At 50.3% G+C, this 17,406-nt stretch overlaps 3 pseudogenes; 2 read left to right on the forward strand and 1 right to left on the reverse strand.

Annotated features, from left to right (window-relative positions):
• LOC102723618 (serine/arginine repetitive matrix protein 1-like) lies at positions 977-6,192 on the forward strand (annotated as a pseudogene).
• On the reverse strand, positions 1,011-2,863 carry LOC110467535 (RNA, 18S ribosomal pseudogene; annotated as a pseudogene).
• Positions 6,193-7,861: 1,669 nt separating the features above from the next.
• Positions 7,862-9,776, forward strand: CDC27P4 (cell division cycle 27 pseudogene 4; annotated as a pseudogene).
• The last annotated feature ends 7,630 nt before the right edge of the window (positions 9,777-17,406 follow it).

The following is a 17,406-nucleotide window of genomic DNA, read 5'->3' on the forward strand; positions in this document are numbered from 1 at the left end:
CGGGAGGCCCTCCTGGCACAGCACGTCCCCCAGAGGGATTACCTCAGGCCGGCCAGTCAGACAGCAATGGGACCAGACTCCAGAGAGGGGTTGGAAGGTTTCACAATACAGGGAGGCAGTGCCAACCATGGAGGGGGGGGCAAACGCTGACACCACCCCATGGGAGCCCAGGGGTTCCCGCCCCCACAGCGCGGGGCACAGGCCACACCCGTGGCATGTGTGCAACATCACGATGGCCGCTGGATAAAGCCCCCACCGGCATCAGCGGTGACACCAAAGTGTGGCGCGGCCCCGGCTGGCCGGGGAGACGGAGTCAGCAGGGGAGGCGAGGGAGGGGTGGGCCCCTCCTGAACGGACTCCACCGTGGGCCCACTGCACCTGACCCACAGGCGGACCGGCGACCCCCCAAGGGGTCCTTAAACCTCCACGCCAGAATGCGCTAGGTACCTGGATGGCAGGGGCGGATGAGGGGGGTGGGACCGGCGTCCAGCTCCCTACCCTCGAGACCCCCTAGCGGGAAGGCTGGGAAGAGAAAGTGGGCCGGGACGGGCCAGTGGTGTGGTTTGGCAGAGGCGATGATGGTGGCAGCGGCAGTGATGGGAACCTGGCCAGCCCTGACGGGAGCGGGCAGGATGGGGCCGAGACAGTGGGACACGGCAGGACGACGGCCCCAGTGGGGAGGGCACCGAGACCCCCACCCCACCATGATGCCGAGAAATACCTCCGTGCCCACCGATGCACACATGGGGGCCACGTCAGGTGACCACTCCCCGCTGCTCACCAGGCCGGCGAGCCATCCAGCCAGCCCCATGACACGCACACATGGTTTCATCCCCACATGCCTGTCTCTCTACCACCTCTCTCCCTCCGGAGTTCTCCGGCTCTGGGGGCAGGCGGGGCCATGCAACAAACAAAGGGCAAGACCCCGCCCATGCATGCGCCACAGGGGGAACACGGTCGGCCAAGGAGGAAGGACATGGCGGCGTCTCTGTGGCTTCGCTCTTCTCTGTTAATGATCCCTCCACAGGTTCACCTACCAAAACTTTGTTACGACTTTTACTTCCTCTAGATAGTCAAGTTCGACTGTCTTCTCAGTGTTCCGCCAGGGCAGTAGGCTGACCCAGCGGGGCTGATCCGAGGGCCTCACTAAACTATCCAATCAGGAGTAGTGACCTGCAGTGTGTACAAAGGGCAGGGACTTCACGCAAGCTTATGACCCGCATTTACTGGGAATTCCTCGTTCATGGGGAAAAATTGCAATCCCCGATCACCATCGCCAATGAGGTTCAACAGGTTACCCACATCTGCCACATAGGGTAGGCACACGCTGAGCCAGTCAGTGTAGCGCACGTGCAGCCCTGGACATTTAAGGGCATCACAGACCTGTTATTGCTCAATCTCAGGTGGCTGAACGCCACTTGTCCCTCTAAGAAGTTGGGGGATGCCGACCACTTGGGGGTCGCATAACTATTTGGCATGCCAGAATCTCGTTCGTTATCGGAATTAACCAGACAAATCACTCCACCAATTAAGGCCGTGCACCACAACTCATGGAATCGAGAAAGAGCTATCAATCTATCAATCCTGTCCCTGTCCAGGCCGGGTGAGTTTTCCCATGTTGAGTCAAATTAAGCCACAGGCTCCACTCCTGGTGGTGCCCTTCTGTCAATTCCTTTAAGTTTCAGCTTTGCAACCATACTCCCCTCGGAACTGAAAAACCCAAAGGCTGGTTTCTTGGAAGCTGCCCAGCGGGTCATGGGAATAACGCCGCCACATCGCCAGTCGGCATCGTTTATGGTCGGAACTACCACGGTATCTGATTGTCTTCGAACCTCCGACTTTCATTCTTGATTAATGAAAACATTCTTGGCAAATGCTTTTGCTCCAGTTCAAACTGTGCCAGTCCAGGCATTTCACCTCTAGCGGTGCAATATGAATGCCCCCGGCCATCCCTCTTAATCATGGCCTCAGTTCCGGAAACCAACAAAATAGAACCGCAGTCCCATTCCATTATTCCAAGCTGCAGTATCCAGGTGGCTTGGGCCTGCTTTGAACACTCTAATTTTTTCAAAGTAAACGCTTTGGGCCAGAGGACACTCAGCTAAGAGCATCCAGGGGGCACCGAGAGGCAAGAAGCAGGGATGGGCCGTGGCTCACCAGCCCACCTGCTCCCAAGATTCAACTACAAGCTTTTTAATTGCAACAACTTTAATATACGCTATTGGAGCTGGAATTACCATGGCTGCTGGCACCAGACTTGCCCTCCAATGGATCCTCATTAAAAGATTTAAAGTGGACTCATTCCAATTACAGGGCCTCGAAAGAGTCCTGTATTGTTATTTTTCGTCACTACCTCCCCGTGTCAGGAGTGGGTAATTTGCATGTCTGCTGCCTTCCTTGAATGTGGTAGCCGTTTCTCAGGCTCCCTCTCCAGAATCGAACCCTGATTCCCTGTCACCCGTGGTCACCATGGTAGGCACAGTGACTACCATAGAAAGTTGATAGGGCAGACGTTCGAATGGGTCATCGCTGCCACGGGGGGCGTGCGATTGGCCCGAGGTTATCCAGAGGCACCAAAGCTGGTGGTACCCGACCCCCCGGCCGGGGCCGGAGAGGGGCTGACTGGGTTGGTTTTAATCTGATAAATGCACGCATCTTCCCCGTGAAGGGGGTCAGTGCCCTTCGGCATGTAATAGCTCTAGAATTACCACAGTTTTCCAAGTAGGAGAGGAGCCAGCAACCAAAAGAACCATAACTGATTTAATGAGCCATTCACAGTTTCACTGTACTGGCCCTGCGTACTTAGACATGTATGGCTTAATCTTTGAGACAAGCATATGGTTCTGATAGGATCAACCAGGTAGGTAGAAAGCAGCCTCCGGGACTTGCGAGGATGAGCCCCGCGTCCCAGTTGTGAGATTGGGCGCGGCAGGGCAGGCGATGGGGCGTGGGGGAGGGAGGGAGCAGCTCGGGGTGGTGGGAGGGGGGTGGTGGGGCGGCGAACCGGACATCCCATCCATTCACACGACACAACACCCCCCGACGGGCTCACCACTCCCGACCCTTCGCGCCCATGTGCGAGAAGGCAGACCGCCCGACCCGTGTGCGGCAGCCGCGAGGGACCGGCGGCCACTCATGCACGGAGGGCACGGGGCGGCCCCGACGTTTGGGCAGCGAACGAGAGGCGGACCGCTGTGCCTGGGTTCTCACCGCCAGCGGCCTCCGAGCATGAAGGCGGCCCCGCGCGGCACCTGGAGCGGCTGACTGGCCTTCGGAGGGCCTGCGGCTCCCCCACCACCGCCACTGTCGCGGCCAGCCCCCGGAACCCTCTTCCCTGCACGCACTGCAGGCAGACCCCAAACCCTCCGGGTGCCCACCACGCCCACTCGGGGTGCCGCCGACCTGGTCCCAAAGGCGCACGCCCGGGGACACAGACAACGGGCCAACCAGTGGCCGGCGGCGGCGCCCCACAAGGCAGAGCCGGGTTTGGTCCCAGACGGGGCCACCACAGCCTAAGGCGGTGAGTCGCTCGGGGAGAGAGGATCCGCGGGCAGGGTGGGGGGCACAGACGGGCAAGGCCAGGGACCGCGACGGCAAGTGCACCCGGGAGCCCGCAGAGGGGCGGCTCGGGGAGAAACCTCAGGCACGGCCGGGCCACCAGGAAAACACGGCCACGGGATCCCACCGCCACAGACACGAGGGAGGTCCCGCAGCGACCCGCCTAGGATGCCGGACGGCCCTCGGCACCCACCGAGACCCGCCTCATGAGCCCCGGGTCCCGCCATCAGGACCCCGAGGCGACCTCAGCCACAAACCCAACGCCAGGGCCACGTTGCTCGTTTCTCACCCATCCTCCAACCCGGTCAAGCTCTGGGAGACCGGCATGCCCCCCACTTGGGACGCTTCCCAGGGCCAGGCGGCCCAAACCCCGTGCCACACAAACGCGGTCGTCTGCACCGGTCGCTGCTCTGCAGGGGAGCGGGCAGAGAGCCGGCTCACAGCGGAACATGTCACAAGCCGGAATGAAAGCCAGGCACAGCCACCGCTCGCGCAGCCTCCCAACCGCTAGGACGCCGGCCCGGCCCGGCGGGATCCTCCCCCGACTCGGAAGGGGGAGGCGTGGGCCACACAGTAGGCGACGAGCTGCCCTGGGTCCCCACCGCGGAGACTGGCGGAACCCTTGCTCTCCCCCCATCACCCCATCAAGGGGAAGCGGAGGAGGGTCCTCTGCAAGCCAGTCGCTACGCAGCGCTACCATAACGCAGGGAGAGGCGGCAGGCAGGGGGATCCGGTACCCCAAAGGCACACCTCTCGGATCGCTAGAGAAGGCTTTCTCACCGAGGGTGGGTCACACTCCCCACCCGCCAGTCGCCCCTCGTCGGGCCCGCAGAGGTGCTCAGGGACGCCTAGGGAAGGGAGAGGGCCTGCGGTACCAGGAAAAATCTGCGTGCGGCAACCTTGAGCCTTCCCGGTCTGGGTGGGGGGCCTGGCCGCTGCGCGTGCACGCAATCCCCCAAGGGCCCCCCCATCCACCAGCCTCCTTTCTCCTAGGCAAAGCACCTCCAAGTAAACCCACACACAACCTGTCGGAGGCAGAACGGTAGCCCCTCGGCGGGCGGCCGGCCGGCGCACGCGTCATCTGCCCCAGCCCACCGCAATAGCTCACACGGCCCGAGTGCACCCGCCAGAGGGGAGCACGGGAACTGCGCTTGTCAGATCAGGCGGCACCCTTCCCCGCGTGGGAGGGGCCCATCTCACTCAACCGCTTCGACCCCCACACCAACGAGCTCCCTCAGGACCCACTCGTGGACATCACGGCGGTGACCGGAGGAGGGGGCGCTGGGGGTGGGAACAACACACCACCACTGGACCTCGGGCACCTGAGGGATAAGCTGGGGGGTGAAGGGGAGGAGCCGGGCGTGGTAGGCTCACGCCTGTCATCCCCGCACTTTGGGAGGCGAGGGAAGGTGGATCCCTCGATCCAAGCCTTGGCAACATGGTGAAACCTCGTCTCTAAAAAAATACGAAAACTAACTGGTTTCATAAACTGGACTCAACATTAATAAATAGATAAGTAGGCCGGGCGCGGTGGCTCACGCCTGTAATCCCAGCACTTTGGAAGGCCGAGGCGGATGGATCACGATGGTCAGGAGATCGAGACCATCCTGGCTACCACAGTGAAACCCCGTCTCTACTCAAAATACCAAAAATTAGCCAGGCGCCATGGCGGGTGCCAGTAGTCCCAGCTACTTGGGAGGCTGAGACAGGAGAATGGCGTGAACCTGGGAGGCAGACCTTGCAGTGAGCTGATATCATGCCACTGCACTCCAGTCTGGGCAACAGAGTGAGACTCCGTCTAAAAAAAAAATAATAATAAATAGATTAAAATTGAAAATTTAAAAAAAACGTAGCTGGCGGGTCTCAAATGCTCACGCCTGTCATCCCAGCACTTTGGGAGGCTGAGGTGGGAGATCACCTGAGGGGGCCAGTTCGAGACCCGCCTGATCCACATGGAGAAATGCCGTCTCTACTAAGAATACAAAATCAGCTGGTTGTGGTGACACATGCCTGTAATCCCAGCTACTCAGGAGGCTGAGGCAGGAGAATCGCTTGAACACAGGAGGTGGAGGTTGCGGTGAGCCAAGATGGTGCCATTGCACTCCAGTGTGGGCAACAACAGTGAAACTCCGTATCAAAAAAAAAAAAAAAATTACGCACTGTATTCTGTTATTTTTACTTCCTACCCTGAGAAGAATATAATATAACTGTTGTCTGTCTGCCTGCCTGCCTGCCTGCCTGCCGGTGACAGGGCCTCACTCTGTCTTTCACCCAGACTGGAGTGCAGTGACACCATTATGGCTCACTCACTGCAGCCTCAACCTCCCCTGGGTTAGGCGATTCCTCAAGGGATCCTACGGCCTCAACCTCCCAAAGTGTTGGTGTTACAGGCGTGAGGCACCGGCACCCGACTTGAATTAATACATCTGGTCTCACTACGTCTTAACCACACACCCATGAAGAACTCAAGTCAAGAAAGAGTCGGTAAGAGACTCTCAGCATTCTCTCCCGAAAACAGTGAGGTGGATGGCGGCCGTGTGTCTTGAGCTCCTGTGGTTTTAGGTGGCCACACATAGAGGAGAGATTTCCAATGTTTCCAGTGATGCGCGAGCCACAGTCATTCGGGGCATCTGAGCATGAGATGGGGTTTCTGACAGCAACTTAAGGGCCAGGAAGGGCCAGAATCTGCCAAGGCCCGTGTCCCAGGGTGGGGCCGATGGAACCCAAGGTAGAGGGAGTCAGCGGTCCACACAGAGAGAGCTCCAGCCTTAGGCCCCACTGTGCAGACCGAATCCGAAGGAAGAGAGTCCTTCATCCTACATGCCACATCCCTCCACTGAACTTGGGAGCAAATCCATTTTCCAAACATGAGGTGACTCTCACTTTGCAATGGATCACAAGGGGCTGGGCTTTCCAGAGTCAGCAGGCTAAAGAAGTCATCCTGGCTCAGCCTCCCCCAACCCCTGGTAACTGGTGAGTTTATTTTTTATTTTTATTTTTATTATTATTATACTTTAAGTTTTAGGGTACATGTGCACAATGTGCAGGTTAGTTACATATGTATACATGTGCAATGCTGGTGTGCTGCACCTACTAACTAACTCGTCACCTAGCATTAGGTATATCTCCCAATGCTATCCCTCCCCCCTTCCCCCACCCCACAACAGTCCCCAGAGTGTGATGTTCCCCTTCCTGTGTCCATGTGTTCTCATTGCTCAATTCACACCTATGAGTGAGAATATGCGATGTTTGGTTTTTTATTCTTGCGATAGTTTACTGAGAATGATGATTTCCAATTTCATCCATGTCCCTACAAAGGACATGAACTCATCATTTTTATAGCTGCATAGTATTCCATGGTGTATATGTGCCACAGTTTCTTAATCGAGTCTATAATTGTTGGACATTTGGGTTGGTTCCAAGTCTTTGCTATTGTGAATAGTGCTGCAATAAACATACGTGTGCATAAGTCTTTATAGCAGCATGATTTATAGTCCTTTGGGTATATACCCAGTAGTGGGATGGCTGGGTCAAATCCTATTTCTAGTTCTAGATTCCTTTGCCATCCCCATCAAGCTACCAATGACTTTCTTCACAGAATTGGAAAAAGCTACTTTAAAGTTCATATGGAACCACAAAAGAGCCCGCATCGCCAAGTCAATCCTAAGCCAAAAGAACAAAGCTGGAGGCATCACACTATCTGACTTCAAACTATACTACAAGGCTACAGTAACCAAAACAGCATGGTACTGGTACCAAAACAGAGATGTAGATCAACGGAACAGAGCAGAGCCCTCAGAAATAATGCCGCATATCTACAACTATCTGATCTTTGACAAACCTGAGAAAAACAAGCAATAGGGAAAGGATTCCCTATTTAATAAATGATGCTGGGAAAACTGGCTAGCCATATGTAGAAAGCTGAAACTGGATCCCTTCCTTGCACCTTATACAAAAATCAATTCAAGAGGGATTAAAGACCTAAATGTTAGACCTAAAACCATAAAAACCCTAGAAGAAAACCTAGGCATTACCATTCAGGACATAGGCATGGGCAAGGACTTCATGTCTAAAACACCAAAAGCAATGGCAACAAAAGCCAAAATTGACAAATGGGATCTAATTAAACTAAAGAGCTTCTGCACAACAAAAGAAACTACCATCAGAGTGAACAGGCAACCTACAAAACTGGTGAGTTTAAATGAGCTGAGACTGGCAAGGCCGGAGACGCTATGGGGGGGAGGGGGGTGGGCGGGGTGGGGGGTGCCTGAGGCACTGCAGAAAGTGGGTCTGAGCCTCGAGGATGACGGTGCTGCAGGAAACTGTCCAGGCTGCTATATGGCAAGCACTAAACCACTATGCTTACAGAGATGGGGTTTTCCTCGCAGAACACCTTTATGCAGAAGTACACTCAGAAGAAGCCTTGTTTTTACTGGCGACCTGTTCTTACCGCCCAGGAAAGGCCTATAAAGAATATAGACTCTTGAAAGGACACAGTTGTCCTACACCACAATGCAAATACCTGCTTGCAAAATGTTGTGTTGATCTTAGCAAGCTTGCAGAAGGGGAACAAATCTTATCTGGTGGAGTGTTTAATAAGCAGAAAAGCCATGATGATATTGTTACTGAGTTTGATGATTCAGCTTGCTTTCCCCTTCCATTGTTGGAACATGTATATTGCAAGACAGATTGGCTTGCCAAAGGATCAGAATGTTACCAAAAGAGCCTTAGTTTAAATCCTTTCCTCTGGTATCCCTTCGAATCATTATGTGAAATAGGTGAAAAGCCAGATCCTGACCAAACATTTAAATTCGCATCTTCACAGAACTTTAGAAACTGTCTGCCCAACTCTTGCAAAGCACAAGTACCTAATCATAGTTTATGTCACAGACAGCCTGAGACCGTTCTTACGGAAACACCACAGGACACAACTGAATTAAACAGATTGAATTTAGAATCTTCCAATTCAAAGTACTCCTTGAATACAGATTCCCCAGTGTCTTCTATTGATTCAGCTGTAATTTCACCTGATACTGTCCCACTGGGAACAGGAACTTCCATATTTTCTAAACAGGTTCAAAATAAACCAAAAACTGGTCGAAGTTTATTAGGAGGACCAGCAGCTTTTAGTCCATTCACCCCAAGTTTTGGGATTTTGCCATTAGAAACCCCAAGTCCTGGAGATGGATCCTATTTACAAAACTACACTAATACACCTTCTGAAATTGATGTGCCATCCACCGGAGCCCCTTCAAAAAAGTCTGTTGCCAGAATCAGCCAAACTGGAGCAAAGTCTGTCTTCTCACAGGGTGGAGATAGCCAAGAGGTAACTCCAATTCTTGCACAAACAGAAAGTTCTGGTCCATAAATAAGTACAACACCTCAGGTATTGAGCCCCACTATGACATCTCCCCCAAATGCGCTGCATCGAAGAAGTTCACGACTCTTGACTAGTGACAGTTCCACAACCAAGAATAGGAAGAAATTAAAAATGAAGTTTCCACCTAAAATCCCAAACAGAAAAACAAAAAGTAAAACTAATAAAGGAGGAATAACTCAACCTAACATAAATGATAGCCTGGAAATTACAAAATTGGACTCTTTCATCATTTCAGAAGGGAAAATATCCACAATCACACCTCAGATTCAGGCTTTTAGTCTACAAAAAGCAGCAGCAGAAGGCTTGATGAGCCTTTTTCTTGAATGGGGGAAAGGTTATTTAGCTTTGTGTTCATACCACTGCAAAGAAGCTATAAATGTTTTGAGCCATCTACCTTCTCACCACTACAATACTGGTTGGGTACTGTGCCAAATTGGAAGGGCCTATTTTGAACTTTCAGAGTACATGCAAGCTGAAAGAATATTCTCAGAGGTTAGAAGGATTGAGAATTATAGAGTCGAAGGCATAGAAATCTACTCTACAACACTTTGGCATCTTCAAAAAGATGTTGCTCTTTCAGTTCTGTCAAAAGACTTAACAGATGTGGATAAAAATTTCCCAGAGGCCTGGTGTGTTGCAGGGAACTGTTTCAGTCTGCAACAGGAACACGATATTGCAATTAAATTCTTCCAGAGAGCTATCCAAGTGGATCCAAATTATGCTTATGCCTATAACTCTATTAAGGCGAGAGTTTGTCTTAACTGAAGAATTGGACAAAGCATTAGCTAGTTTTTGAAATGCTATCAGAGTCAATCCTAGACATTATAATGCATGGTAAGTGGCAATGAAGTGTAAAGACAAAGTCTTGTTGATGGTGCTGATAGTCACTAATTTTTCTTGTTAGATAGCTCTTTATTGTCATGAATTTGGTTACTAATACTTAGGGATGGTACATACTGGTCAATAACCTCAAACTAACATGTTTTCTTATGAAATGTGTGTCTTTAACAAACTCTTAAGTTAACTAATGATAGTAGAATACCAGATCCTTATACTCAACAGTTTCAGTCTTCTACCAAACTTTTGCAGATACTGTAGTTGTGTTTTGTTTGTTTGTTTGCTTGTTTAGTTTTGTTACTTGATTTGTTACTTTTTCTTGAAACACACAAATGGTGATTGGGACAAAAAGTGCTTGGGAAATTGGAAAGGAATAGCATAATTCATTTATTGGATAATAGAAAAAAACACTGAAAAAATTCACTAGTTGCTGCTTTTTGACAGTGTTCCAGTTTATTGAGTTACTATTAAGAATTTAGTGTACCCTTTTATTTAGCAGTATCTCTCTTTTACTCTTTTGTACTTGTGTATAAGTAGACACATAGGAAATTACTACCCAGGTCATATTGTTATCAACTGAATAACATATGAAAAAGTTTGGTTCTACTTCTGCCTCAACACCATACTTACTGTTGACATTTATTGTATTTTTCTGAACTGACTTAAAAGTCTAAATATCAAGAGAAGGCCAGGCACAGTGGCTCACGCCTGTCACCCCAGCACTTTGGGAGGCCGAGGCAGGCGGGTCACAAGGTCAAGAGATTGAGACCATCCTGGCCAACATGGTGAAACCCGGTCTCTATTAAAAGTATAAAAATTAGCTGGGCATGGTGGCGGGCGCCTGTAGTCCCAGCTACTCAGGAGGCTGAGGCAGGAGAATTGCTTGAACCTGGGAAATGGAGGTTTCAGTGAGCCAAGATTACGCCATTGCACTCCAGCCTGGGTGACAGAGCGAGACGCCGTCTCAAGAAAAAAAATAAAATAAAATAAATAAATAAATAAATAAATATCAACAGAAAGTATAATTCTGAAGTCATAACTCTGTGGAAGCTTTTTTGTCAGATATGGTTATCTTTGGGGTTAATTATTATAGCAGTTGAGTTTTAACACTTGATTTGCTTCTAAATCTGAAGCATTACATTACGAAAACATTTTTTGATTTGTGAATATGTTGTTTAATGGATTATATCTCATTTTGCAGTAGTAGTTGCAGTGCCTGAAAGATTGCCAAAAAAATAGTGCTAGCTTTTGCTGACACATGTAACAATCAACTTACCAATACTGCCTTCTCTTCCGATAGCTATGTTCTCCGTAATATTTTAAGAACTCAGTTCTTCATAAGACTTGTGTTGTTTTTGATTTTTTCCCAAGTCTGATTGACCCTTGTGTTGTTCTTTTTTAAATGTGTATTGTCTGTTCAGCTATTCTGCAGGAGTCACATTCTTAAAAACCTTAACCATATCAAAAATTGTGTTTAAAGGAGGATTATTCAGATTGGCAAGCTTTTACTAGGAGGAGTTTAAATGCTGATGTATTTCAGTAACTCTAAATACTGAGCAACTTTATTCTAACTACAAAATAGATAGCCTTTCTTTATTTTCACTTTCACTATTATTAGCACCGTGTTTAACACCTTTTCTTCATCTATAACACAATTATAACGATATACAAAGCCACTCAAATAAAGCAGATATATTGTGCTTTAAAAAAAGAAAAAAAAGAAGTCATTATGTGGCACACAGTGAGGTGTGATCGAATGTAGAATCTCCAGTGAAAACCAATGAAACAGGGTCAAACCCCGTGTCTACTAAAAATAAAAAAATGAGCCAAGCTTGGTGGCGCTGAGGCAGGAGAATCGCTACAACCCAGGAGGTAGAGGTTGCAGTGAGCTGAGATCACGCCACTGCACTCCAGCCGGGGCGGGGGACAGGGCAAGACTCCATCTCGGAAACAAACAAACACACAAAGCCAATAAAGGTGTTAAGGTGTTTAACTCAACGTGTCAGGCTCAGGTCTCTTGACAGGATACATCCAGCACCCGGGGAAACGGGAAACGTCGAGGGGTGGGGTGGAATCTATTTTGTGGCCTCAAGGAAGGGTTTGAAAGATAGTCCCGCAAACGTGACGGCCTAAGGAAGCCCCTCCACCCAAGAAGCGATATTCATTTGTATCCTGTAGCCACCCACGAGGGAGAATCGGGCTCTCTACAGACCCCCAACCCCCACCCCACCCCACCGCACCCCCCGGCCTCGTGAAATAAGCTCTCGCTCCGTCAGGCTGTATTCACGCCCTGTGGTTTTGTAACCTCCAGCGTGTGTGCGTGGGTTGCGGGGTGGGGTGGGGGCGGCTGTGGACAGAGGAGGGGATAAAGCGGCGGTGTCCTGCGGATGCCCGGGACATGGGATGTGAGTGGGGTGGCCAGAGCCTAGGGAACTCATCGCCTGTCAAGACGTCTCCCCTCCTGGTCCCCTCTCTGACCTACGCTCCACATCTTCACAGTTCACTGGGGACCTTGTGGGTGGAAGTCACCATCCCTTTGGACTTTAGCCGAGGAAGGCTGGGCTCCCAAGAGTCTCCCCGGAGTTGGGGTCTTGGGCAGGCTCACAAGGATGCTGACGGTGATGGTAACAGTGATGTAAGTTGGAGGCCTCTGGCCAATGCAGAGGTATCCATTTGATCTCGGTGGGACAGGTCAGCTTTGTGGACTCACGTGCGTCCTTCCAGAGACTCATCCAGCGCTAGCAAGCATGGTCTGGAGGATCCCAGCTCCCAGCAGAGGCACTTTTTTTCACACAGAATCCTGGGCAGGAAAGTTCTCAGCAGGTTTAGACCTCCTAGCCAAAAAGCCAAAGCCACTTCTGGGATTTTTTTTCAAAGAGCCAGTGGTTCCACAATGGGCCATGGGTAGTTGTGGAAATGGAGAGAAGTGTTTGCAGATACATATTTGAGACAGAACAGACAGGGCTCGGTCACAGGTCATGAAGGACACGAGCAGATGCACATTGAGAAAACCCAGCATCCTAGGTGAACAGAGGTATGATTTTTTGAGACGGTCAAGGGAGATGCAACCCCAGATTTTAGGGTTGGATCTTTATTAATATGTAGTATCTATGAGGTATCCAAGTCCAGAAATCAACTCACCAGTTCCGTACAGCATTCGGTAGGGAGATCAAATCTGGGATGTCTAAAGTTAAGAATTCAGGCCATGGTAATGGATTAGATTAGATGTACTTGAACTTATTTTGCAAAGAAAGAGAGGGTGGGAGATAGCGAGAGCCAGAGAGCGAGCGAGAGAGAGAGAAAGAGAGAGACAGACAGAGAGACAGACAGAGACACAAAGATACACAAAGAGAGAAAGACAGAAAGAGAGACAGACAGACAGATAAAGACACAGAGAAAGAGAGAGATGGACAGAGACAGAGAGAAACAGAAAGAGAGACAGAGACAGAAGGAGAGAGAGACAGACAGGCAGAGAGACAGGCAGAGAAAGAGAGTAAGACAGATGGCAGACACACAGAGAGAGACAGAGACAGATGGAGAGACAGAAAGAAAGAGAGAGACAGACAGAGGGAAAGAGACAGAGGGAGAGAGAGAATCAGACAGAGAGAGAGACAGACAGAGACAGAGAGAGAGAGAAACAGACAAGGAGGGAGAGACAGACAGGCAGAGAAAGAAAGAGAGAGACAGACATACAGGCAGACAGACAGGCAGAGAAAGAGAGTAAGACAGATGGCAGACACACACACAGAGAGAGAGACAGAGACAGATGGAGAGACAGAGAGAAAGAAAGAGAGAGACAGACAGAGGGAAAGAGACAGAGAGAGAAAGAGACAGACAGAGGGAGAGAGAGAACCAGACGGAAAGAGAGAGAGAAAGACAGAGACAGAGAGAGAGAGACAGACAGACAGGCAGAGAAAGACGGTAAGACAGAAGACAGACAAAGAGAGAGAGAGAGACAGGCAGAGAGAGAGAGACAGAGAGACAGAGACAGAGAAACAGACAGGCAAAGAGAGAGAAAAAAACAGACAGGGAGAGAGAGACAGGCAGAGAAAGAGTATAAGACAGAAGACAGACACAGTGAGAGACACAGAGAGAGAGAGAGAGAGACAGCGAGACAGAGAAAGAAAGAGAGATACAGACAGACAGACAGACAACGAGACAGACAGAGAAAGACAGAGACAGACAGAAACAAAGAGAGACAGAGAGAGAGAAAGGGAGAGAGACAGGCAGGCAGAGAAAGAAAGACAGAAGACAGAGACAGGCAGAGAGAGAGAGACACAGAGACAGAGAGACATAGAGAAAGAAAGAGAGAGAAAGACAGAGATGGACAGAGAGAAACAGAAAGAGAGAGAGACAGAGACAGAGAGAAAGAGACAGACAGGGAGAGAGAGAGAGAGAGACAGACAGGCAGAGAGAGAGAGATATAGGCAGAGAAAGGGAGTAAGACAGAAGACACACAGAGAGAGAGACAAGCAGAGAGAGAGAGAAATAAGACAGGCAGAGAGAGAGAGACAGAGTGAGAGAGAAAACAGAGAAAGAGAGAGACAGAGACAGAAAGAGAGACAGAGAGAGGAGGAGGAAGGGCATGCTCAGGAAATAATTACACATATTTTATAATGCTTTTGATCCGGTAAACAGTGGCCGGGGTGTGCTTTGAAAACAACAACAACAACAGCAACAAGAGCAGCAGCAGCATTCGATTACGGATTTCTAGAACATAAGATGTTCTGAAGTCTAGTAAACATCAGCCGGCTCTCACTACACGTTGAGAGATTCACAAAAGCACTAATTAACAGGAGAAAACAGCAGCTAACATGTCTTGGGGAAAATATACGTCTTCCTGAAAACTGGGGATTTCTACTTCACCTGAAAAGAAATACATACGAAAAAGGAAAAACATGAACAAAACAAAACAAGCCAACAAACACGGGCCAATGCACCGTCCCTGGAAATCTTAAGTGAGCAAAGTATTAGTTTTCAGAAAGCGTTTCTATTTTGGGAAAATGCTAAGAAGGCCCAGATTAGAGCTGTGATGCCCTTCCCATTGTGAAACTATGTTGGCCGGAGGGCGGAGAAACTAAAACATCATGATAAAAGGTGATTGAGACCCAGCCAGGGTGAAGCTTTCCTAGGGAGGGAGGCCTGAGGAGGGAAGCGGGGGAAAAAAACCACAACTGCAGACCCGCCCGCTTGCCCACGCGGGTCAAGGGCTATGCCATCGGCCCAAGCTGCCTCTGGGGAAGTGGGACCGTGCCACCCCCATCTTCAAAAACGGTGGCCACTGAGTGAGGCCTGAGGCCCACCGATGCAAATGTCAGCCTGGCAAGAATGAGATCGGCGGAAGAGGTGGGGGAAGGGGAGAGAAGACGGAGGCTCACCTGGGTGGCTCCGGAAGGTTTCCAAGCAGGGTGTCGGGAGGCGGGGGGTGGGGTTTGGGGGGAACCCACCTAACTGACTCACTAAATGAAGCTAAAGGGACGTGGGTAGTGGGGGGAGCCGAGGGGCGACTTGAAAATTAAACTGACCCCTCCTAAATCTCAAGTAGAAGAGTCTATGCGCATGAAAGAAACCAACACACAAAGAAAACTAAAGCGCTGATCAAAGAACAATAGGGCCCCCGCCAGGGCAGAGGTTCCCTAGGCAACTAGGGAGAGAGGGAGGGACCTCCAGAAGGGAGAGAGAGAAACCCGTTGCCCCAGGTTCGGTGAAGTCAGGGAGACCTCCCTCCGTGTGACCTCAACTTTCAATAACAGTGGCCGCTAGGTGATGCCCGAAGACAACCGATGCCTGCAAATGTCAGTCAGCACGGAAAAGAATGTATTTATTTATTTATTTATTTAGAGATAGAGTCTCACTCACTCTACAGCCTGGGCTGTAGTGCAGTGGTGCAATCTCAGCTCACTGCAGCCTCCGCCTCCCAGGTTCAAGCGATTCTCCAGCCTCAGCCTCCCAAGTAGCTGGCATTACAGGCACCTGCCTCACCGCTCCTGACTCAGTTTTGTATTTTTAGTAGAGACGGGGCAAGGCCGGTCTCGAACTCCCAACCTCAGGTGATCCACCCGCCTCGGCGTCCCAAAGTGCTGGGATGACAGATGTGAGCCACCGTGCCCGGCCTTAACCGTTTATTTTTAAGTCGAGGAACTTATCAGGGAAATATGAGAAGTACGGACGCCACACGTGACAGAGAGAAAAGTCTGAAAATGCCCCTTGCATCCAAGTGGGGACCCGGACTCGACCTCCCGAAATCATACACCGAGTGGGGAAGCCCAGTAGGGCCCATCTGTCTAGATTCTTCTCGGCCTCTCTAAGCACCTAAGCACGCACTTCTCACTTTCATGGAAGGGGCAGGGCCTCCCCGTCACGAGGTGCCTGACAGACTGACACAGAAAGAGACAGACATAGAAAGACAGAGATGGACAGAGAGAGATAGAAAGAAACAGACAGAAAGAGAGAGAGACGGAGAGTGAGTGAGAGAGAGAGAGAGACATGGAGGGAGAGAGACAGACAGACAGACAGGCAGAGAAAGAGAGTAAGACAGAAGACACAGTGAGAGAGACAGGCAGAGAGAGAGAGAGAGACAGAGACAAAGACAAGGAAAGAGAGAGAAAGACAGAGACAGACAGAGAGAGACAGAAACAGACAGAAAGAGAGAGAGAGAGAAACAGAAAGGGAGGGAGAGAGACAGACAGAGACAGAGAGACTGACAGACAGATAGGCAGAGAAAGAGAGTAAGACAGAAGACAGACACAGTGAGAGAGACAGGCAGAGAGAGACAGAGAGAGAGACAGACAGAGAAAGAGACAGAGAGAGAAAGACGGAGATGGACAGAGAGAAACAGACAGAAACAGTAAGAGAGAGAGACAGAGACAGAGAGAAGCAGACAGACAGGGAGGGAGGGAGACAGACAGAGAGAGGGAGACAGACAGACAAGCAGAGAAAGAGAGTAAAACAGAAGATAGGCACAGACAGAGAGACAGGCACAGAGAGAGAGACAGACAGACAGACAGAGAAAAAGAAAGAGAGAGACAGGCCAGGCACGATGGCTCATGCCTGTCATCCCAGCACTTTGGGAGGCCGAGGCAGGCGAATCACGAGGTCAGGAGATCAAGACCATCCTGGCTAACATGGTGAAACCCCGTCTATACTAAAAATACAAAAAAATATAGCCAGGCGTGGTGGCGGGTGCCGAGTAGTTCCAGCTACTCGGGAGGCTGAGGCAGGAGAATGGCGTGAATCTGGGAGGTGGAGGTTGCAATGAGCCGAGATCGTGCCACAAAAAAAGAAAGAGACAGACAGACAGAGAAAGACAGAGACAGACAGAGAGAGACAGAAAGAAACAAACAGAAATAGAGACAGAGAGAAACAGACAGAAATTGAGAGAGACAGAGAGAGAGAGAAACAGAAAGGCAGGGAGGGAGAGAGAGAGACAGATAGACAGACAGGCAAAGAAAGAGAGTAAGACAGAAGAGAGACTCAGTGAGAGAGACAGGCAGAGAGAGAGAGAGACAGAGACAGAGAGAAAGACAAAGAAAGAAAGAGACAGACAGAGACAAAGAGAAAGAGAGACAGAGAGAGAAACAGAAAGGCAGGGGGACAGACAGAGAGAGAGAGAGACTGACAGATAGGCAGAG

This window comes from Homo sapiens, chromosome 20 (assembly GCF_000001405.40).
Source record: "Homo sapiens chromosome 20, GRCh38.p14 Primary Assembly".
In the NCBI taxonomy this organism is placed as follows: domain Eukaryota; kingdom Metazoa; phylum Chordata; class Mammalia; order Primates; family Hominidae; genus Homo; species Homo sapiens.